The sequence below is a fragment of the Homo sapiens genome, chromosome 16, assembly GCF_000001405.40.
Source record: "Homo sapiens chromosome 16, GRCh38.p14 Primary Assembly".
In the NCBI taxonomy this organism is placed as follows: domain Eukaryota; kingdom Metazoa; phylum Chordata; class Mammalia; order Primates; family Hominidae; genus Homo; species Homo sapiens.
The window spans coordinates 19,152,217-19,175,523 of record NC_000016.10 but is presented as its reverse complement, the minus strand read 5'-3'; the positions used below and the strand labels follow the sequence as shown (position 1 = coordinate 19,175,523).

At 47.1% G+C, this 23,307-nt stretch overlaps 1 protein-coding gene across 16 annotated transcripts in view, besides 2 other annotated features; it reads right to left on the bottom strand.

Annotated features, from left to right (window-relative positions):
- Positions 1 to 7,690, bottom strand: part of SYT17 (synaptotagmin 17) — a 100,499-nt gene extending 92,809 nt beyond the window's left edge. For 2 of the 16 annotated variants that reach the window (XM_047434203.1, XM_047434204.1), the window contains exons 1-3: positions 7,380 to 7,690; positions 2,747 to 2,769; positions 1,946 to 2,094 (exon numbers count right to left, since the gene is read on the bottom strand). In XM_047434203.1, coding sequence (XP_047290159.1) covers positions 1,946 to 2,094; positions 2,747 to 2,769; positions 7,380 to 7,467 — 260 coding nt within the window. In that variant the 5' untranslated portion in view covers positions 7,468 to 7,690. The other 14 variants (NM_016524.4, XM_017023280.2, XM_011545868.2 and 11 more) reach the window with 11 other exon arrangements.
- Positions 6,700 to 7,447: an enhancer, noted in NCBI's record as "H3K27ac-H3K4me1 hESC enhancer chr16:19179399-19180146 (GRCh37/hg19 assembly coordinates)". NCBI's record gives its function as "activates a minimal SCP1, AML or CMV promoter by ChIP-STARR-seq in primed H9 embryonic stem cells {active_cell/tissue: H9 hESC(primed)}" and the evidence as "EXISTENCE:reporter gene assay evidence [ECO:0000049][PMID:30033119]".
- Positions 7,639 to 7,888: a silencer, noted in NCBI's record as "silent region_7243". NCBI's record gives its function as "represses an Ori minimal core promoter by ATAC-STARR-seq in GM12878 lymphoblastoid cells {active_cell/tissue: GM12878}" and the evidence as "EXISTENCE:reporter gene assay evidence [ECO:0000049][PMID:35858748]".

Here is a 23,307-nt window from a genome sequence, read left to right as displayed (position 1 = left end):
ACCAACGTGCCCAGCTAATTTTTTAAATTTTTGTAGAGATAGGGGTCTCATCGTGTTGCCCAGGCTGGTCTTAAACTCCTGACCTCAAGCAGTCCTCCCACCTCAGTCTCCCAAAGCACTGGGATTACAGATGAGAGCCACGGCACCCGGCTGTGAATTATCTCTTGATTAATGAGTTGCTTTCACCAAAAATCTCAACTCTACACACACCTGTAGGATTCAGGCCACAACTTATGAATAATGAATAATGGAAGAGTTCTTTAACATTGTGTTTGTATCAGTTTAATTAATCTCTATTGAAACCTAATACTGACAGAAATAAATGCTTATAAAACTTTTGCTCTGTGCTAAGCATATTATATGCATATCTCATTTATTTATTTATGTATTTATTTTTGAGACAGGGTCTCATTCTTTCCCAGGCTGGAGTGCAGTGGCGCAATCACAGCTCACTGTAGCCTCAACCTCCTAGGCTCAAGCGATCCTCCCACCTCAGCCTCCAGAGTAGCTGGGGCCACAGGCACACATCACCACATCCGGCTAATTTTTTGATGTTTTGTCGAGATGGGGCATGGGGGGGGTCTCACTATGTGGCCCAGGCTGGTCTCGAAATCCTGAGCTCAAGTGATCCGCCTGCCCTCAGCCTCCCAAAATGCTGGGATTACAGGCATGAGCCACTGCGCCCAGCCAGAGTTACTTACATGTATGATCACCAACAAAGTATCAAGCATTCCTAACTACTTTTCCACATTCCAAATTCATTGACTCCCTTCGACAACTCTGAGAGAAATACTATTCTTTTTATCATCCCATTTCACAGATGGGAAATCAAGGCACACAGAGATCAAACCACTTGCCCAAGGTCACAGAACTCGAAATAGTAGTTGAGACCACAGAGCCTGGATACAGAACCATTTTGCTATGGAAATATTTGATACTTGCTTCTAAGAAGAGAAAATGAGAGGCCTGAGGCATGAGCCCCCAGCTTGGAGGGAAAGATGGGACACCAGAGACTTTTGGAATCTCAGGCCAAGGACTGAGCTGAAACAGCGCTGCCTCCTTCCACTCTGCCAGGCTCCAGCTGTGGGTCCTGGCCGCTGTCTGTCTCCCTCTCTGGGCCTGCCCCTCCGAAGCATGACAAGCTCACTTGATGACTTCTTGATCCTTCCCAGCCCCGACCTTCTTGACTGTACCCAGGCTCTCTGACCACGTCCCTCTCTCAGTCACGGAGAGGTGGACCAGGCACGTGGCTGAGAAGCTTCAAAACTGCGTTCCCAAAATATCTGAGCGACTGGCAGATGGAGATGTTGTATGCAGGCGCGGGAGGAGAGCAAATTAGAAATAAAACGAAAGATGCCAGAGAGAACATAAACAGCGTTGGAGGACAGGATGGAGCCTGGAGGTGCTTTTCTGCTTCCCTGTTTCTGAAGTTCTTGTTCGGAGCAGCAAAAAGGCACTTGTTTGTTCATTCCGTCTACCCATCCATGCAATGGATATTTATCGAGCTTTTACTATGTGCAGGCCCTGGGCTAAGTGCTAGGGAATCTTGTCACGCTGACTTGGATGGAAACCCTCAGAATGCGGTCAGCCCCTGAAGAATATAGAGGCTCGGCTCACAGATCTCCTTTTCTGCTCGGAACCACGCTCCACGTGACTAAAAACGCCCACACGCTTAGCATTACACGGTTCGTATCTCAGAAGGCCCGATGTGCCACTAGGTGAACTAAAACCACACCACCAGCTGGTCTCGCCAGCTTGCCGAACAAAATGAGGGGTACAGAACATATCCCCAGTCTGCAGCAAAGTTGTCCCTGGAAACTCAGCCTGCTTCTCTTTCATGCCCCCAAATCCTCCCTCCCGTGGCCCAGACCCCCAACCCGCCTTCTCATTAAAAAGGAAAAGTCTTGAAATTGATTTCAGAGAAGTTCAGAGCAGTTTTACTTACAGCCAGGGAGGGGTCTGAGCAGGGAAAGGTCCCAGAATTTCAACTTCATCCTCACTTGACTGGCAACAGCTGGACTCGTAGCACTTCTGACAGCAGTGCCGGCAGGTCCATCTGCACAGCAGCAGACCAGAGATTCTAGAAAGAAAACCCTGAGGCCATTGGGGGAGGTGGGCGGGGGGATGGGGGAGAGGGGAGGTGGGCAGGGTGGGGAAGAGGAAGAGGAGAAACAACACCCAAAATTACAAGCAGCCGATCTCGGATGAGAAATAGACATTCAGGAGTTCTGGCTCTGCTGCTCAGCACTTAGAACAAAATGTTTTCCATTTCTATTTACCAACTGCAGGCACAAAGATAGCAAACATCAACTCGCTGGAGCCGTTAGTAGCAAGCAAAACATTTGCAGGTATTTTCTTTTGTAGTTTATGTGAACGTCTTTCTTGACATGTGGGTGGTTTATACAACATCATAAGGGCTATACGATATGTTCGAAACACAATGAATATTACTGTGTCTTCTTGAAAGCAGGGGAAAAAATATTTTTAAAAAATCTCGGTGACATGAAACAGACAGAGATAATCAAACGGAATAAGTAGGGGTGGAGAGGGAAACTTGTCTTGTCAACTGGTGTCTTTTCAAAACCGGGATCTCCTTTCGGTAGAAAGGAATGGAAACTGTGCCGTTATTAACACCAGGTTATTGTTGAATATTCAATATCCCCACAGCCCCACATAAGACTCCAAAATGAAAGTCAGGCATTTCTTGATTAGAAACCAGACCAAACAAATCATCAAATGAACCCACCTCGTTTAATGGTTCCAACTGCCCTTTTAAGATCCACGATGAAGCCAAGGGCGTAAGGGAACGAAGGGGTTAAAGAAAGAGAGACAAGACCAGTTTAGCAATATTCCAGCAACTCAAAAAAATTTTACAAAAAAAAAAAAAAGCCCTGCATATTTCCACTTACCATCCTGGGAAGGGAGCTGACTTCCTAACATCCTAACAAGGTGTTGCTATTTTCAGGGCTGCTGGTAGCCTCCTGGTTAACCAACACCAAATAAATGGGAAACTTTAGCATTTCGATTTGATTTGCACCGTATGCTGTTATGAATCAGAGCGGGCGGATAGATAGTCATGCTATCCAATGCAGCCACACTTCAGGAGAAGAGCAAACCTTCCTATACAGAAATAGCCATGTAGCCAACCCAAAAGGACATGATTAGCTAACATGCAGGCAGGCACACAGTGGATGTTACTTGGCTCCCCCGCCCTCCCGGAGGCCCTACCTTCCAATTCTGCTCCAATGGTGATGGTGGGGTGTTTCCTATCACCACCCACAAATAGAGGGAACTAAAAAGGAAGCCCTAATCTGGTCCTCTTGAGGAAGGAGGTCCTCCCTTCCTGTTGTGGCCCCACCCCGCCTCCCCATCTTCGTCTCCTGGGTTCTCAAGGCACAGACTCCCTCCTTCTCTTTAAGGTGGTTTTCCAAATGGGCCAAGTAGGCTAGATAGGTTAGAAGTACTGCATCCCAACCTCGGGCATGTCCCAGAGGTGAACTGAGGTGGGACTCAAACTCAGAACTTTGAATCAAGAGGGAGAAAGTTATTATCTTTTTTCCGATTCTCCTTTAAGGAGGAGAAAGTCTCAATTTGGTACCACTACATGTTAACATCTTTTACCACTTACCAATTTCCACCCTCCCCCATCCCCTTTCTTTTAAACAAAGAAAGTAGATCTTGTCCAGAGGCTTGGAGACAGCCACGTCCACCTAGAATTCAGTAATGTGGCATTATTCCCATTGGGTTTATTCTTCTAGTTGCCTTCTGCGATGTCACATGATCTTGGTTTCCTATGATATTAGTGACATAATGTTTCCTTTTCATATGATTTTTTTAAAGTAAAAATAAAAATGAGCCCATTTATAGAAAAAAAATTAAGTTAATAATAGCATAGGTAGGGCTGGGCGTGGTGGCTGATGCCTATAATCACAGTACTTTGGGAGGCCAAGGCGGGTGGATCACCTGAGGTCAGGAGTTTGAGACCAGCCTGGCCAACATGGTGAAACCCCCTCTTTTCTAAAAATACAAAAAATTAGCCAGGCGTGGTGGCAGGCGCCTGTAATCCCAGCTGCTGGGGAGGCTGAGGCAGGAGAATCACTTGAACCTGGGAAGCAGAGGTTGCAGTGAGCCGAGATCGCACCACTGCACTCCAGCCTGGGCGACAGAGTGAGACCCTGTCTAAAATAATAATCATAATCATCATCATCATCATCATCATCATCATCATCATCATAGTATAGGTGGTACGTGGCTTGTGAAAAAATTGAAATCCTCGAAGTGGTAAGGGAATAGCAACAGCTTGGGAAATAGTCAAAGGCACTTATCACAAACTCTCTAAAGCCAAAACTCAAACCATACACAGAACAAGACCCAAAGGTGCTGAGGGGCCACGCAACAAGCTGAGCCAGGAAGTACTAGAGTCCTAGTCTCACCATCGACTGATCATGTGACTTGGGCAAGACAGGGGGCCTCTCTGAGCCTCGGTTACCTCTTCTTTAGTGGAAAGGCTACTCTATACCTCAAAGGCGTGCTGTTGAGGTGGGACAGGACACTGACTATGCAAATACTTGCGTGCGGTCCAGCTGAAAAATAAAATGCACCCTTTCTGTGATGAGAATTAGGTGATTGTCAAGACCTAGTGGAACCCAGTAGGCACTGGGTATTGTCCCGGCAGGTACAGCAGGGCACAAAACAGCAAAATATTATACCCTCATAGGGCTTGCATGAAAAAGTGCTTTAGAATGTTAGGATAAAGTGATACTTTTTCATAATAATCTATGACCATTTTCTGAATACAGGGAAGCATTTCCTAGACATGTGGTGGTCAAAAGAGGCCATTTATGAAACCAAAGTGAACAGAGACAAGGTCACCTCATGGCCCTGCTGAAAAACAGCCTCCCCAACTTTCTCAAAGCCCAGGTGCAAGATGAGTGTCAAGGAGCAGAGAGAAAGCAAAGAAGATGAAAGAGGGTGCCCTGACATTCCCAGGCATGCTGAGTCTTTCTGGCATTGGGTCTCCTGGGCTCACGTGTTTGACACCGATGGAAGAGAACCAATTCACACCAGAAAGAAAGAGGAAGAAAGACAACCCATGCATTCTAAACAGAGGTTGGCAAACTAAGGCTCGCAGATCAAAACCAGCCCCGCAGCCTGTTTTGCTACAGCCCTTGAGCTAAGAATAATTTGTGAGTTTTTAAAAGGTTGAAAAAAAAAAAAGATGAATGCCTCTTGACTCGTGCAAAGTATACAAAATTCAAATTTTGGTGCCTGCAAATAAAGTTTTATTGGAACACAGCCACGCCCACTCATTTACTACTGTCCATAGCAGTTTTGGTGCTATAGTCAGAGTGGAATAGTTGTGACAGAGACCATGTGAGCCTCCAAGAGAAAAAAAATAGTATCTGGCACTTTACAGGACAACAAAGTTTAACACCTTGTTCTAGAAGGAAAACCAACATCACTGGGTCATCGCCATATGAGATGCTTAACATATCTACCACAGTCCCCTCTTGAGATCCCACCTTGACCCCTAAGCAGCTATGTGGCCTTGGGCAAGTCACTTAATTTCTCTGTGCTGAAGGCGGCCATTAAGAACTCCAGGAGCCGGTAATCATGTTCATTTCTCACTAAATTGCGCACCCAGAGGGGCAGGAACTGTGCTGTTTTCATCACTGTATCCCCAGTGCCAGCACTTAGTAGGCGGTCGCCCAAGTGTTTGTTGGGCGACTACTCAATAGCCCCTGGACAACATTCAGCACACAGTGGGTGGACAGTAATGTGACCTTCATTGAACTTGAAGAGAAACTGGCGATTCCACGAAAGGGAAGCCAATTCAGGGAATCTAAGGCAGGAGATGAATGGAAGAGGCTCCGCCAGGTGACACAGCACAGAGTTCCCGGCAGGCTGAAGCGTCTGAGGACACGATGAGGGGATATGTGACCCAGAGGGGAATGGGAGGACCAGCAGCACCCCCAGCTGTGGCTGAGGGGACAAGATGTGAGCCAAGATGCACCCTGGACGTGGGAGTCTGTAAGCTTCTCTGCCCAGCTCAGAGGCGCCAGCGCCAGAAGCAAGCAGCTCAACGGGTCTCACTGCGGGTCTGCCTGCTTGACCTTGGCGCTGACCTGCGGTCACTTCCCTTCTTGCAGAGGAGAAAGGTCTTTTCACCAAGAAGCCCGGCCCACCCCTCCGCCCCCTCCCCCCAAAAAAGGCTGCTTAGAAATTATTTCAGAATTATTTCAGCCCAAGGATTCTTGGGGGACGTTTCTTCAAGGTGAAGAGGGTCCACATCTCCCAGACCCCAATGCAGCGGAGTAAAGTAACAGGCTCCCTTCTCTTCACCAGCGCGCCTCTGGCCTCTGGGTGTCCCCCACCCCTCAGCACCCAGTGCCCAGGAGAGACGACGTCCTTGTCCCTCCTGGTCGGAACAGCTGCCTCAGGCTCGCTCCGCCGGCCAATTAGCCGGAGCCGTCACCACGGCAACGGCAGCTGGCGGGCCGGGTGGCTGGCGCGCCCCGGGCCGCCCTCCCCACGGCCCCTCCCCTGGGGTGGGGTGCCAAGGAGAGGGAGGGGGCAGGGGAGAAGAAAAGTCCGCCCCACCCCCCATTCCCTCCCCAAGAGGCAAGGGCGCGCGTTGCAGAGTACACATAGGACCCTCCATCCCGGGGTTTGGGGGTCCCCAGTCTCTCCTCCCGGGGCGCACCCCTGTTGCTGCACAGGTTGCCCGCGCACGGGCACCCTTTTTCTCGAAGCAAGTTTGTGGGAGCCTAGCCGTGGGCCCTCCCTTCCGCGCGCTCCCAGCCGGAGGGGGCGCGGCACCCCCTACCCGCACCCCGGACCTTGCCCCCAGCCTCAGCCCTACCTGGATGTACGCCATTTTCGCCCGCGCGCACTCACTCCGGCCCGGGCATGGCGCCGCCACGGCCACTTTGCCCTCGCCAACAGCGGAGGGGGAAGAAAGCAAAGGGGGAAAGGAAGAAAAAGGCAGCCGGTGGCCCCAGACGTGACTGGCGTGGCTGATGAGCGGCGCCCGCCCCTCCGCCGGCCGCCCCGTCCTTGCCTTTCCCTGCGTTCCGGCTCTCGGAATCGGGGCCGCCTCCCCGGTTCGGAGATATCGGGCGCCCAGGGCCCCCGCCTCGGCCTCCCTCGCTGTCCCGTGCTCCCCACCGAGGCGCTCCCCAGGCTGGAATAAGGCCGGGGCGCCTGGGCAAGCAGCCCGGGGCAGCTGCGGGGACTGCAGCGACCCCAGCGCAGGCGGGGCCGGAGACGCCGGGGCCGGAGCGCGCAGGAGGCGGGGGAGGGGATGGGAATGGGGAAGGGGGTGGGAGGGGGCGGTACACAGGTCAGCCCATCCTGCTGGCACGGGGGCTGGCACCTACCGAAAGCAGCGCCCCCGGGGCAGCCGTGGAGCCGAGGGGACACAGTGCAGCCTGCCATGAAGTCTGCAGCAGGGAGGGTCCTTCCCATCCAGCCCTCTCCCCAAACTGGGTTGGAAAAACTTTATTCCCGCCCCACCCGACGCGCCTAGCACGGTTGCGGTGAGGCTTGCAGAGGCTGCGTGGATGGGAGCCTCAAGTTAAGGTGGGCGTAGGGCGTCCCAAACGGAGGTGCTGCGTCCAGGGCTGCAGGGGGCGCGCGGAGAGAGCGGAGCGCCCCTTTACCCTAAACCTGCCGGAGTTGCGCCCTGGACGCAACAGGTCTAGCGCGGGGCGGCCCGGCAGCGCCACCCAGCGTCGTGCCCGGCCTCGTGCGCTCCTCTGCCCACGGGCAGGCGGCCGCCAGCGAGCGTGCGCCCCGGGGCGTGTCCACCGCCGCCCTCCTGCCTGTCCTCGTGGCTGGGGCGCCCTGGACCCAGAGGCCTCCATCAAACCTCCCAGCCCAAGGCCTCTGGCTCTCCACTCAGAGATTCGAGGTGGAACATTGCCCTCCGCTGGATTTCTTATTTTATTTTATTTTATTTTATTTTATTTTATTTTATTTTATTTTATTTTATTTTATTTTATTTTTGACACAGGGTGTCACTCTGTCACCCAGGCTGGAGTGCACTGGGGTAATCTTGGCTCACTGAAACCTCCGCCTCCCAGGTTCAAGGGATTCTCGTGTCTCAGCCTCCCGAGTAGCTGGGACTACAGGCACATGCCACCACGCCCACTAATTTTTGTATTTTTGGTAGAGAAAGGGTTTCACCATGTGGGCCAGGCTGGTCTCGAACTCCTGGCCTCAAGTGATCTGCCTGCCTCGGCCTCCCAAAGTGCTGGGATTAGGGGCGTGAGCCACTGCGCCGGGCCGGTTTTCTTTTTAATATGCCCAGTCATCTCCTGTTGCCGGACACCAGCTTATCAGCATTTTAATTTTAACCTCCCAGTGCCTCTTTTTCCTCAGTAAAAACAGGAGAAAATCTCCACCCTGCCTATCCTCCAGGGCTGATTTGTGGGAATAAATGAGAAAATGAATATGGGAGTAACAAAAGATGGATATTCAGATGCATATATTTTTTGTCTAAAAATCTAGCAGACCTATACATTTTTTAGTATGATATATTTAGTTTGTAGCATATAGCACGTAACGCATATTGAGTGCTTATGATTCTGCAGGCATACACGCCTCAACACTTCACAAGCGTTATTTCATTTCAACCTGCAGTACCTTGATCACTCCTATTAGGTAGCACCTGTCCAGCCAGAGTAGGCACTCAGTAATTGTTTTTGTTGCCTTATTCACTCTGCTTCCTGAGGGAGGTGCTATGATTATCTCCAATTTATGAGGGACTGCAGCCCAGACAGGTAAAGCCTCTATGAAGGCCTGACAGCTGGTAGCCCAGGGCACTGACATTTGAACCCACAAGTCCAGCAGTGAACCCAAAGTGGCCACTCCTAACCACTTTGTGGTATTTATCCACAATCTTTCTCCAGCACTGATGGCAAGGCATGCCAGGTGGGGAGTGAGCCTCACAGAGGAGGATGCCTATTGGAACGGGTGCTCCTTGGGGGCACTTGAGGGAGTTCGAGGAATTTGCTAGGTGTTCCCATAAGTAAAAATAGTTAACCCTTTTTCACCTGAGGTCAGGAGTTCGAGATCAGCCTGGCCAACATGGCGAAACTCCGTCTCTACTAAAAATACAAAAAATAGCCGGGCATGGTGGCAGGTGCCTGTAATCCCAACTACTCAGGAGGCTGAGGCTAGGAGAATCACTTGAACCTGGGAGGCGGAGGTTGCAGTGAGCTGAGATCGTGCCACTGCACTCCAGCCTGGGTGACAGAATGAGATACCATCTCAAAAAAAAAAAGTTAACCCTTTTTGAGGTCTGTGTACCAGGCACTGTTTTCAGCCCTTTACACAAATTTTGATCTTTTAATTCTCTGATTACCATGAGGTAGGCACAAGTACTATCCCACTCTTTAGGTGAGAAAAAAAGAGGCATTAAGAGGTGAAGTTGGCCAGGCATGGTGGCTCATGCCTGTAATCCCAGCACTTTGGGAGGCCAAAGTGGGTGGATCACTTGAGGCCAGGAGTTCAAGACCAGCCTACAAAAAGTTTCTTTACAAAATACAAAAATTAGCCCGGCATTGGTGGCTCACACCTGTAGTCCCAGCTACTTGGGAGACTGAGGCTGGAGAATCGCTTGAGCCCAGGAGATTGAGGCTATAGTGAGCTGAGATCACACCACTGCACTCTAGCCTACATGACAGAGTAAGACCCCATCTCGAAAAAAAAAAAAAGAGATGAAGTCATTTGCCCAAGGCGTGTCATGCCAGGCCACTGTTAACTCCTTTAGGAATAGTACCATGTCCAGGAGGCCAAAAAAGAGACCTAGAGACAGTGAACGAGACACAGGGTTTATTGAGGGAACTTACATACAGGGACAATCCAGTGGCAGCTGGCTGGACAGGAGAACCTCTACTGTTTATATAAAAGCATGCAGTTTATGTAGCATTTTCACTTAGCACCCTCCACCTAGCAACTTCCTTTTGGCCCTTTAACCCAAAACAAAGGGCCTCGATTGTTTATATAAAAAACATGTTTATATAAAAAGCATGCAGTTTATATAGCATTTTCGCTTAGCACCTTCTATCTAAGCAACTTCCTTTTGGCCCTTTAACCAAGGGTTTTGGCTCTTTAACCCAAAACCAAGGGCCTCAATTGCCTGTACAGCCTGCATTCCAAGGGATAGGCAGGGGACCCAGACATCCTTCATAGATAAGGAGTGAATCTCCAGGTTGGCCACTCCCGGATTCCTTAGCTCTGAACTGTGAATACACATTCTTCTTAGACCATAGGGTCGTTCGCAGGGTAAGCTAAGTTCAATTATTGCCGTCAAATGTGTCTGCCCTGCAGGGTGTGTGTGGCTTCCAGGAGCTGGGATTCAAACCTAAACCTGAATCCTTTCCCTAGCCCCTGCACCATGTTGCCTAATAATGCCTGATCTTGGAGGAGGGGGATGACCCCGTCCCCAGAATTTTTTGGTACCTTAATCCCTTATGACCTGAAACTGTCCAAGAATACTAAGCACCTCTCGAGCAAAAGAAGAGGTTATTTAAAATGCGGATAATAGAACCTGCCTCTGGTATTATGAAATGCTTTAAATGTATGCAAAGCACCTGGCAAAATAGGTGTTTGATAAATGCTTGTTGAATGAGCAAATGGGTTGCAACAACAGCTAACATGGACACTTTCAACTCTCAGACAACTGGTTATTATGATTGAGTGTTAAGCCCTTCACATTTGTTTTTGTTTCATCCCTACTGGAGCCTTACAAGGTGGGTACTGTCATGGTCCCCAGTTTACGGGTGAGGAAACTGAAATCCTGAGACGAGAAGCAAAGTGAGTTGCCCAAGGTAAACAGGTGACAAGAGACAGGGACAGGACAAAAATGCAGGTCTGGTTAGCAATAAAGTCTCAACTCATCATGGCTGCACCATCGTCAGATGAAAGAATGGACGAGAAATCAGTTTAAGTCCTTCATCAGGGGAGTGTCAATGAGTTCCAGGATCCCACTGCTTTGCAAGCCTCTCCTGCCTTTCACGGGGACATGAAGTCCAGCTTTTCAATGTAACTTGGACTCAGATCAAGGCTGTGCCTGCAAAGCTGGCACCTTTACAGATCTCAATGAAGAAGGCCCCAATCAGGGAGGTAGACAAATGCATGGAATTATATGTGACCTGTGGTGTGATAAAGGGAGGCTCAGGGGACTGTGGGGTTACAGGTGAGGGGCCCCAACCTCGTGTGATGAAGGATCACAGAAGGTTTCCCAGAGGGGCTGACATTAAGCTGAGTCCCAAAGAACCAAAGATGGGGAGTGGGGCTTATTTGGAAGGTCCATGAACTTAGAAAGAAAAAAAGTTGCATCACCATTGTCACCAACCTCCTTCTGAAATTTAGTGTTTCCTTCCATTATGACTGCAGGCAACCAACCAAAACAAGCTTAGCACTTACTCAGGACTTTGTCACCAACAAAGATCATGTGTAGTCTATCTCATTACACTTGCAGTTGTTGCAAATGACTTGAAATTTCATTTATGTTCTTTACTGCTTGAAAATTACAAATAGTTATTAGGCCCACCTCTAAATTGTCTATTTAATGTGTTAACAAAGAAGCAAAGACATGACCATATTTAAATTTGTTTAAATATTTTGATAACTGTATATCAGTGTTCATTATAATTTCATTATCAATCTATGTATTCTATTCTACGATTCTAAAAACATTATTCCAAGAGGGCTCTATAGGCTTTGATGGACTGCCCAGGGTTTCATGACACAGAAAGTAGTAAGAAAGCCCTGAAGGTAGCTTCTGCATTAGCTTAGAGGTGAGAATGGGAACTAGGGAGAGGTGGGTGCCAGGTGTGGCTCCACAGGTAGCAGATGCCACATGTCAGGCGGCCTCCTAAGTTACCCCATGGAAAAGCAGAGAGGATTGTGATCAGAAAGATTTTGGCAGGGCTGTGTGCATGTCTGTCTGTCTGTCCACCTGGCTGTCTTTGGACATGGAGCAGACAAGCCTGGAGGCAGGGAGGCCAGTGAGGAGATGGTTGCAACAATCTAGGTGAGAAGTAATGCGAGTCTGAACCAAGATAATGGCAGTGAGCCAATGGCAGTACCAGAGTGAGAGGTGATGAGGTCATGGAAGGCAAGGAAGGCTAGAGAGATGCAGGTGTGCTGCAGGAGGAGGAGGAGTTTGTGTCTGGATATGAGTCTCAGATATGTATTATCTAGGGTTCCTGGAAGAAGTCCAATTCAATCCAACTTGGGCAGAAAAGTATTTATGGGCTCATTAACTGGAAAGTCCAAGAGCAAATCCTGTGGGCATGGCTGGAAATAGGGATGCAACTGAAGTCATAAGAGCTCACTCTCTATATATATATCCCACCTCTTTACAGCATCTCTCTGAAAATCAGGGTTTTTATATTTTCTTCCTAGAGTAGGTTTGCTTTACATGGCAGGAAATGGCCACTAGTGATCTTAAGTTTATATTCTTACAGTTTATGCTCCAAAAAGAAAAGACTTTTTTTTTTTTTTGAGATAGAGTCTTGCTCTGTTGCCCAGGCTGGAGTGCAGTGGCATGACCTCAGCTCACTGCAACCTCCACCTCCCAGATTCAAGCAATTCTCCTGCCTTCACCCCCCAAGTAGCTGGGATTACAGGCTTGTGCCACCATGCCTGGCTAATTTTTGTATTTTCAGTACAGACGAGGATTCACCACGTTGGGCAGGCTGGTCTCGAACTCCTGACCTCAGGTGATCTGCCCAGAGACTCCTTTTTTTTTTTTTTTTTTGAGGCAGAGTCTCACTCTGTTGCCCAGGCTAGAGTGCAGTGATGCAATCATGGCTCACTGCCGCCTCCAACTCCTGGGCTCAGGCAATCCTCCCGCCTCAGCCTCCTGGGTAGCTGGGATTATAGGTGCTGCCACCACACCTGGCTAATTTAAAATTTTTATTTTGTAGTCATGGAGTCTCGCTATGTTGCTGAGGCTGGTCTCAAACTCCTGGCCTCAAGCAATCCTCCCACCTTAACCTCCCAAAGCACTGGGATTACAGGCATGAACCACTGTGCCCGGCAAGAAAAGAGATATTTATACCAAATCTAATGGAAAACTTCGGGCCCTACTTAGGTCTCATGCCTATTGTTGTCCAGAGGACCCTGTACTCTGCTTCAGTTGGCCTGGACCAAGTGACCAGGTGGACAGGGATGTGTGAGCACCATGAGCTGTGATCCCACAAGGGCTGCAGAGAGGGGAGGAGTTAGTTCTCTAAGAACAGCTGCTGGGAGACAAAAACAAAAAACATGGCCACGATGAGATCACATTGGAACACTCAGGCAGAGATGTGCAATGGGAAGTTTAGATGGTTCTGGAATTCAACCCCTCTTAACACAGAATGACATTCAGAGCTGATGAGCAGGGAATGAGGCCTCCGTCACTTCCTGAAGGTATCCAGGGGCTCATTTTTATCTCCAGCTTCTAAAAGGAACCAGGCCTTTCACCTTCTTCCCTTGAACACCCACCCACCCAGCCCTGGATGGCAGAGACAAGCATATAATAATGGTCTTCTCTTCAGGATCCTTAGATAGGTAGTTAGAGGTGCCAAAGCAAACTACGGTCCTGAAAATACCTATTATAATTAAAAAGCACCAGAATTGCAAAAGCAGCCCCTCGCATCCATACGAACAACACAGATTCTGGTTAGGTGACTTTCTATTTCTGCAATACAGGCTGATGGCACTTGTCTCCTAAGTCAGTTTTAATTATACAGCTTCCCAAACATGCTATTCAGATCTTATTTTAGCTATACCTGTAACCCTGGGCAGTGTTTTTGAATGCCAGGAAAGTAAGAAGGCCCCAGGCTAATTAAATAGCTTAGTCTGAAATAGGAATGGCAGCCTCTTGTTAACTATGATCCCAAGAGCAGACATAACCAAGTAACCCCACATGGAAGTCCGACTCCTTTCATCTCCATCCTCCCCACGGGCTGTGTGGTTTGATAGCAAGAGATCTGACTTGGGCCAGGCGCCGTGGCGCATGCCTGTAATCCCAGCACTTTGGGAGGCCGAGGTGGGCAGATCACGAGGTTAGGAGATCAAGACCATCCTGGCCAACATGGTGAAACCCCGTCTCTACCAAAATACAGAAAATTAGCTGGGTATGGTGGTGCACACCTGTAGTCCCAGCTACTCAGGAGGCTGAGGCAGGGAAATCACTTGAACCCGGGAGGCGGAGATTGCAGTGAGCCCAGATCGCTCCACTGCACTCTAGCCTGGTGACAGAGCAAGACTCCGTCTCAAAAAAAAAAAAAAAAAATCCAACTTCTAGTCCAGCCTTGCTTACGTGATAGCTGTGTGACCTCAAGTAAGTCACTTCACCTCTGTGAGCCTCAGTTTTCCTCATCTGCAGAATGGGTATACTCCCCTACCAGGCTGGTGAAAGATAAAGCAAAAGAGGAAAATATACTTGAAACACTGACATGTAGTTCACGAGTAGTAGTTCTCTGTTTCTTCTGCTTAAAAGCATAAGTTTATTTTTATTTCTTTTCATTTTCTTTTCTTTTCAAGACAGGGTCTCACTCTGTCACCCAGGCTGGAGTGCAGTGGTACAGTCACAACTCACTATAGCCTTGATCTCCAGGGCTCAAGTGATCCTCCCATATCAGTCTCTCAAGTAGTTCAGACTACAAGCACACGCCACCATGCCTGGCTAATTTTCAGTTTTTTTTGCAGAGATGAGGCCTTGCTATGTTGCCCAGGCTGGTCTCGAACTCCTGGGCTCAAGCGATTCTCCTGCCTCGGTCTCCCAAAGTGTTGGGATTACAGGCATGAGCTGATATACCTGGCCCCCTCTTTTTTTTATTTTATAGTTGGAAGAGAAGATCATGTTAGGGAGGAAGAAGGGATAACATGGAAGTTAAAATCCTGGACTTCGGAGTCAGCCTGCCACTTACTAGCTGTGTGACCTTGGACATGCTTCTCTGTGTGGCTCAGCTTCCTCCTCAGTGAACAGGATAATAACAGCCACCGTTTAGTGGAAGTAAAGATTGAGTGGGCCAATCTAGATTTATCCCTTAGCACAGCGCCTGCTACCATTTATTTACTCAATAAATGCTAGCTAGTACTATTTGTTATTTTGAAAATATAAACACATCACACAGACAGGTTATATTATTACTAGCCATTATACTGGTACTTTATTTTCTCTGAACAATTTTCTTGTTTTCTTTGTGGCTCACACCTGTAATCCCAGCACTTTGGAAGGCGGAGGCAGATAGATCACTTGAGCCCAGAAGTTCAAGACCAGCCTGGGCAACATAATGAAATTCTGTCTCTACAAAAAATACGAAATTAGCCGGGTGTGGTGGTGTGCACCTGTTTTCCCAGCAACTTGGGAGGCTGAGGTGGGAGGATTACTTGAGCCTGGGAGGTTGAGGCTGCAGTGAGCCAAGATTGTGCCACTGCACTCCAGCTTGGGTAACAGAGTGAGACCCTGTCAAAAAAAAAAAAAAAAACAAGAAAGAAAGGTTGAAAAGACAGAACAACACATCAGACAGGAGGACAGCCATTCATCAAACTTGACTGTGCATAGAGAGTAGGGAGCTGTGCTATATTCTGGAACTCCTTATTTTCAGACTCCTCACCCAGAGATTGTGATGCAGTAGATTTAGAAGTGAGGTTTGGGGATTTGCATTTCCTAACGAGCTTCCCTAGAGATGCTGATGCAGGTGGTCTAAACTTTGACCTTGACCTTAGCATGCTGGGACATCATTTTGGTGATGTGCACACACTTCCTACCTAGGACGATGCCCACCACCAGCCAGGCTGCACCCGCGGCCCCCTACCCCAAAGGATGTTCCATTGGCTAAAACAGGTCAGAGTGGGAGATTGCACAGAGCGGGAGGATTGGCCTAATGGTGCCCATAAAGCCCTGAAGATGTTTGACTCACCCATGATGCTTGACCTCCAGCCAGTCCCTGCCTCCTACCAGACATCTCTTCATCTTGCATGCTGTCTGCTGATATCACTCCTAAGGATCTTGCTTAGGGGAAGGAGTCTGATGGTCTCGCCTTTGAAACCCTCTGAAGCCCCCGTGCCATCCTACCTCCAGCCTCCACACTGGTTCAAGAATTTCCACTACAGATGGTTCCTGTCTGAGTCTGGTAGCTACAGTCAGCCAAACCCTCTCCACCCCATGATTCAGAAAAGGGTAGCTAATTATGTAATCTTCAAGAAGGAAAATGTGAGGGCAATTTAATAATGGGCTGCAAACATATGAAGGGTTATTAGCAGGAAGCTGGTGACCACCTGTTCCCTCTCTCTGCCGCTGCTAGGATGAAGAGAGGTAGGATTTACCTGCAGAAACCAAAGAGAGCTTCAGGGTAGGCATAAGCATTGGTAGCTCTGATGTGGTTACAAGAGGCGGCATGTGAAATCTGCTTTCCTGGGACTCATGAAAAGGGAAGAAGCGTTGGATCTGATGTGGTGTTTCCTTTAGAGGCAGGGAGGAGGGCATGAGGCTGTGAGCAACTTTGAGACAGGGATTTTGGCTTGCTGAGCCCAGATCCCTGGCACCTGGTACTCTGTAGACCAGTGGTTCTCAAAGCATGGTCCCTGGACCAGCAGCATCAGCATCACCTGGGACCTTGTCAGAAATGCAGAATCCCAGGTCCTTCCTATACGGACTGAATCAGAGCCTCTAGGGGCCAAGAAATCTTCCAGGTGATTCTAATGCTGGCTGAAGTGTGAGAACCATGAAGCTTTCAAATTTACTGTGCATTTCACTCAGGGAATCTTGTGAAAGAGTCAATAAGTCTGGGCCATGGCCTGAGATTCTGCGTTTTTAAAAGCTATTTTTTTTTTAATTTAGGTTTGAGTGTACCTGTGCAGTTTTGTTACATAGGTATATTGTATGATGCTGAGGTTTGGGCTTATAATGATCCCGTTGCCCAGATAGTAAACACAGTACCCAATAGGTTGTTTTTCAACCATTGCCCCCCTTCCTTCTCCTCCCTTTTGGGGTCTCCAGTGCTTATTGTTCCCATATTTATGTCCATGTGTACCCAGTGTTTAGCTCCCACTTATAAGTAAGAACATTCTGTGTTTGGTTTTCTGTTTCTGCATTAATTCACTTAGGATAATGGCCCCCAGCTGCATCCCTATTGCTGCCGAGGATGTTATTTTATTCTTTTTGTGGCTGCATAGTATTCTGTGGTGTATATTTCCCACACTTTCTTTTTCAATCCACCACTGATGGGCACTTAGGTTGATCCCCTGTCTTAACTACTGTAAATAGCGCTGCCATGAAGATACGAGTGCCTTTTCGGTAGAATGATTTATTTTCCTTTGGGTATATACCCAGTAATGGGATTGCTGGGAGTTTCTGCATTGCTTACAAGCTCTATGTGATGCTGATGCTGCTAGTCCACAGACCACAGATTAAGTAGCAAGGATCTAGAATAGATGCATTTACCCCTGCACACACATGAGGGCTCAGCCCACTTCCATAGGGAGCATGAAAAGGACCAGAAGGCAGACAGACCCTGTCCCAAAGCAGGTGGGACACAGTTGAAAGAATGTGGAGTCACAGAGACCTCAGTTCAAATAGGGACTATGTTGCTCACCAGTTTTCTGAGCCTCGGTTTCTTCATCAGTAAGTGGGCATGTAATCTGCTTTCCTGGGACGTATGACATGCAAGATGAAGTGAAGGAGTTGGAAGCTGCTGGCATAGTGTCTGGCATGTGGTACCCACTCTGCCATGTAGTTCCCCTTCCTCTGAATGATCAGGTCTCATGTGATGGTCTGGGGCCTGTCATGATTGAGGGCACCCATTAGTCATGCCAACACCAACATTAACAAGGTGTTCTGTCTTTCTCTCCTTCTGCCTTGACCAACTGCCTGCCTTCTAGAGCCCTGTTATCTAGCAGAAAATGCAAGGTACCCACCAAAGTCCATCTTCCTTTCTCTTATGGAAATAGAGTTATGGCTGGGCATGTAGCTGCCCAGCTAGAATCTACATGACTTACTGATGTACCTGAGTTTCTGATAGATCTGGACTCAGGAGCTCAAACCATGAAGCTGGTTCTCTGCCTCTCCACTTCTCATTTTTCCTTTGGCCTATCTACACAAATCTCCAAAATGTGTTCCCAGCCCGGATGCCTTCTCTGAACTCCAAGGCACCATATATAACTGCCGTTTCTTCTCCAGCTGCATGTTTAAGAAAGGATTTTCAAATTATGCTTAAACACAGTTTCTCACTTTTTTTTGTAAATACAGTTTTATTGGGAACACACATTTTCTACGGGAGTTTTCATGCAGCAGTGGCAGGGTTGAGTTGTTGTGACAGAGACTGTATGGCTTGCAAAGCCCAAAATATTTGCTATCTGACCCTTTACAGAAAAAAAAAATTCCAACCCCTGTCTAAGAAGCATAACAAGTTTTGTATTCCAAGACCAAATTTCTCACCTGCCCCTTAATCCCCTAAACCTGCTTCTTCCACTGTCTTCCCTCTCCAAGTTACTCAAGTCAGAACCCTTGGAGCCATCCTTGAGATATAGATATAAAAATATAGATATAGATTCTCTTGTACCCTACACCCAATCAGAAAAGCCCTGTTAAATCTTGTCCTCTTTACATTCCAAATATACCCAGAATCTGACAATTTATCATCATTTCCCATGAGGTCCCATGAGAGATGTTGAGGTCCCATTATCTTTCCCCTGGATTATTTCAGTAGCTTCCTAACTGGACTCTCCATTTTCTCCATCACCAACTCCTACCTGATACTCTATTCTCAACCAGCAGCCCACATGAGCTGTAGAAACAGTAAGTCATACTATGTCATTCCTCTACTCAAAGCCCTTCAGTAAATTTACTTTAACTGAGTAATTTACTCAGTTAAAGTAAAGTCAAAAAGATTCCACATAACCTGGCCCTCCATCATCTACCTCTTTGTTCTCATCTTTACTACCATCCCCTCACTCCATTCCAGCCACACCAGCCTCCTTGCTGTTCCTCGAGCACCAGGCAAGCTCCCAGCCCAGGGCCTCTGCACTTGAACTTTCTGCCTGTTTCACTCACCCCTCTGAAATCCCCCATGGCTCACTCCTTCATCTCTATAACAGGCAGCTTTTAAGATGGCCCACAGTGATCCTCCTCCTGGTATTAACACCCCTGTGTAATCTCCTCCCATTGAGTGTGGGCAGGACCTATCACAGGTGATGGATGTCACTTCTGTGATTAGGCTACGTAAGGCAGTAACTTCTGTCTTGGCAGCAGATTCCCTCCCTTGCTGGCTTTGGGGAAGCAAGTTGGCATGTTGGAGAGACCCACATGGCAAAGAAATGAGGGTGTCTAGCTAGGAACTGAGACCCTCAATCCAGCAGACCTAGAGGAACTGAAATTCTGTGAACAACCACGTGAGCTTGGAAGCTGATCCTTCCCTCATTGAGCCTTCAGATAAGAACACAGCCCAGCCAGCACCTTGATTAAAGACTTGTGAGAGATCCTAAAGTAGAAGATTGAGCTAAGCTATGCCCAACTCCTGGACCACAGAAACTGTAAGTTAATAAATATCTGTTCTTTTAGCAGCTAAATGTATGGTAATTTGTTAAACAGCATTAAATAATACTTGACCTTCTCAGTCCAATCTTCTTTGACTTTTCTCTTTAAAATAGCAACCTTTATTCTTGCCTAGGAGCTCCCAGTTCCCCTGCTTTGCCTAATTTTTCTCCATAATACATATCACCATGTGACATATCATATAAAAATATATTTTTTATATTTTTTTGTAGTATGTTTCATCAACTAGAAGTAAACTCTTTGAGCACAGGGGTTTTATTTCTTCCACAGTTGAATCACTAATATCTAGAACAGTGCCTAACATGTAGAAGCTACCCAATAATATTGTCAGATGAATGAATGAATCAATGAATGAATGAATTCTGTTGACAGTCTCCTTCCACAAAAGTGGACAAATTGCACTAATGGATGTCAGCTCTACAATTTCTTAGCACAGCAATCCCAATGAGAAAAGATATTTTTGCAGACATCCATCTATATCTATCCAGAAAAAACCCAATTGGCCCTACTTGGGTCTTGTCCCTCTTTGTTAAGAGAAACATGGGAAAATGTCCTAAGTAAAGCCTGAGATCTTCTGACACTCCCATAACAATTTTGCCTTCTCAAGAGTAGCAGAAGAGTTTTAACACTTTATCCATTGTTCTCAAATAAGGCTCAATGAGGCCTACCTATGTACTATTCCAGGAAGAGCTTGTTTCTCTAGGTGAGGAAGAATTCAGTATTGTCTAAAGAGCCATCACTCTGCACAAAGATTTACATGCCAATGTTCACAACAGCATTATTCATAATTGTCAACAAGTGGAAACAATCCAGAAGTCCATTGATAGGCTAATGGATAAACAAAATGTGGTATAGTCATACAATGGAACGCTTTTCTGCAATAAAAGGGAAGGAACTACTAATGCATGCTACAACTTAGATTACCTGAAACACATCATACTAAGTGAAAGAAGCCAGCTGCACCACTGCCCCCGCCTCGAAAAATAAAAATTAAGAAAACCCGCACATATTGTATGGCTCCATTTATATGAAATGTCCAGAAAAGGGAAATCTATAAAGACACAAGATAAACTAGTGGTTTCCCAGGGCTGGGAATGGGAAATGGGGAATGAATGTAGACAGCACAAAAGATTGGGGGGATAGCGGTGGTGATGGAAACGTTCCAAAACTGTACTATGGTGATGGTTGCATGACTTTGTGAATCAATGTAGATCATTAAATTGTGCACTTAAAATGGGCGAATTTTATGGTATGTAAATTATATGTCAACAAAGGTGTTTTTAAAAAGAAAAAAATGAAAAGCTCTTGCTAAATTTTTTTTAATTCTATGTTGAAAGGATCCTCTGTCAAATTGTCTTTGAGAATTATGCTTCCTTCCTTTTTAGATGTTTCTATGAAAGATCAATGTAAAAGGTCCCTTCAGTGTCTCAAAAATATAAATGAAGTTTATAAATAAATTAATGAATACTTCCAAATGGCCTGATTTCTGCCTTGTGTAAGGCAATAAAAGGGGCCATAACATTCTGACTTTTGAAATGATTTTCTGTTCATGTTTGCAGAGCCATCGTTGTCTGACCTCATCACTGAGTGAACTGCACCAGCTCCAAGGACCATTGCCCATCAAAGCAACTGACAAATGCCACATTCACATAGAAAACAGGAATAGTGAAAGCAAAGTCTTGCATTGTGACTACTGGGGATTGAGGAAGAGTAAAATGCTCTGATTCGCCTGTCTTGTAGTGACCTGCAATTTCCATTTCAATGCAATCAAAGGAGGATGGAGGTAATCTCAACTTTGGTAGCCCTTAAAGTGCTACCCTGGATCAATGGCAGGTGCAAAGGAGGATGTAGCACTGCAATTGGCCCAGCCTGTGTCACGTGTCCGTGCCTATGGCGAGGGGTAGTGCACCAAGATTTGTAGCCCCACTAGAAACATGTAGAACAAGAGATGGATAGTTCCCACAAAAGGAAATAAAATGATGAGACAGAAACATCAGGTAACTTATGTTATTCCAATGTGCAGAAAAATCATAATGGGGCAAGATACTCTGGGGATAAGGGCAGTTGGTATTGTAAGTGACAGTTTAACAGATGCTCATGGGGCAGTGCCCTGGTTATAGCAAGACCTCTGGTTAAAGTGAGCCTTGTACCCATCCAAGTCTTCTGTCTCCATTCAAGGGGACATACACGTGTTGAGGACTCTGGGAGGGCATGTGTTGCAAAGGTGATGGTCCCTGGATGACCCACATGGTAGGCAGCTCAACGCCAGTTCCCTTCCACTTCTCAGACTTACGCTTGTGCAGATCTGGCTACAAAAAATTAGCAGGATCCTGTGCAAGAAGAAAATTCAAGACCCCTAATTCAAAATTATTAAGGTTTGCAAGATGACCACAGCAATGCATCAAACCAAGTAGGGGATCCCTCTGAGCACTGGACTTGCGCCATTGCCCAGGTCCTGTGCTCACATCACCAGTCCTGTCCTCATGACATAAATTTCTTCCTCCTTGTCCCACCTAGGGGACAACAGTACCTTCTCCCCTCCTCCTCTGAGTCACTCCTGCACTACCTCTTCCTTCATCCACAGCACACCCGCTTACACAGAATTAAGAACTAAAATCGGAAACAAAAAAAAACAAAAGATCAAGACAGCCACTTCCCTCTGCAAGTTTAAATCCAAATATCTTTGAGGCTAGAGAACTCTGTGAGGAAAAGAAATTCACATGTTTAAGAGTTTATTCTTTAGCTGGGCATTGTGGGGTGCATCTGCAGTCCCAGCTACTCGGGGGCTGAGGCAGGAGGATGGCTTGAGCCTGGGAGTTGAAGGCTGCAGTGAGCTATGGTGCCACCACTGTACTCCAGCCTAGGTAACAGAGTCAGACTCTGTCTCTCAAAAACTTAAAAATTAAATTTAAATAAATAGTATATTCTTAAAGTGTCTCATGGTGTTTACTCTCATCCTTGCCCAGAAATAACTCCAGTATTCTTTGTGGGACTTGGGTGGAAGACAATGAAGAGAGTAGCATCCAGGATGGAGCCCCAATCACAAGGGCTGCCACCACTTCGTGGTGTTTAATAATAACGATTTTTGCTGGGCACGGTGGCTCACGCCCATAGTCCTAGCACCTTGGGAGGCCGTGGTGGGTGGGTCACTTGAGCTCAGAATTTGAGACCATCCTGGGCAACATGGCAAAATCCCATCTCCAAAAAATACAAAAATTCGCCGGGCATGGTGGCATGCAACTGTAGTCCCAGCTACTCAGGAGGCTGAGGTGGGAGGATGGCTTGAGCCCAGGAGGCAGAGGTTGCAGTGAGCCAAGATCGTGCCACTGCACTCCAGCGTGGGCAACAGAGTGAGACCCTGTCTCAAAACAAAACAAAGCAAAACCAATTTTCGTCTATTGAACCCTTACTATTTGACAAAACACTGCCTTAAGATTTTTGCATATAGGTATGCCTTTCCATTCTCACACCAACTCTGCAAGCCAGGCACAGAGACAGAAAAAAACTACTATTCCCGTTTAAAAAAAAAAAAAAAATGAGGCCAGACGGCTAGTAAGTGACAGAGTAGGATTTGAATCCAGATCTGACAGAGGGTTTCTGCTACACCAAAAAACATTTGATCATTCTATTTATTTTGTTTGTTCAGTTTGGGGTTTTCTTTGAGACAGGGTCTCACTCTGTCACTCAGGCTGGAGTGCAGTTGTGCAATCACAGCTCACTACAGCCTCAACTTGTCAGACTCAAGCAAT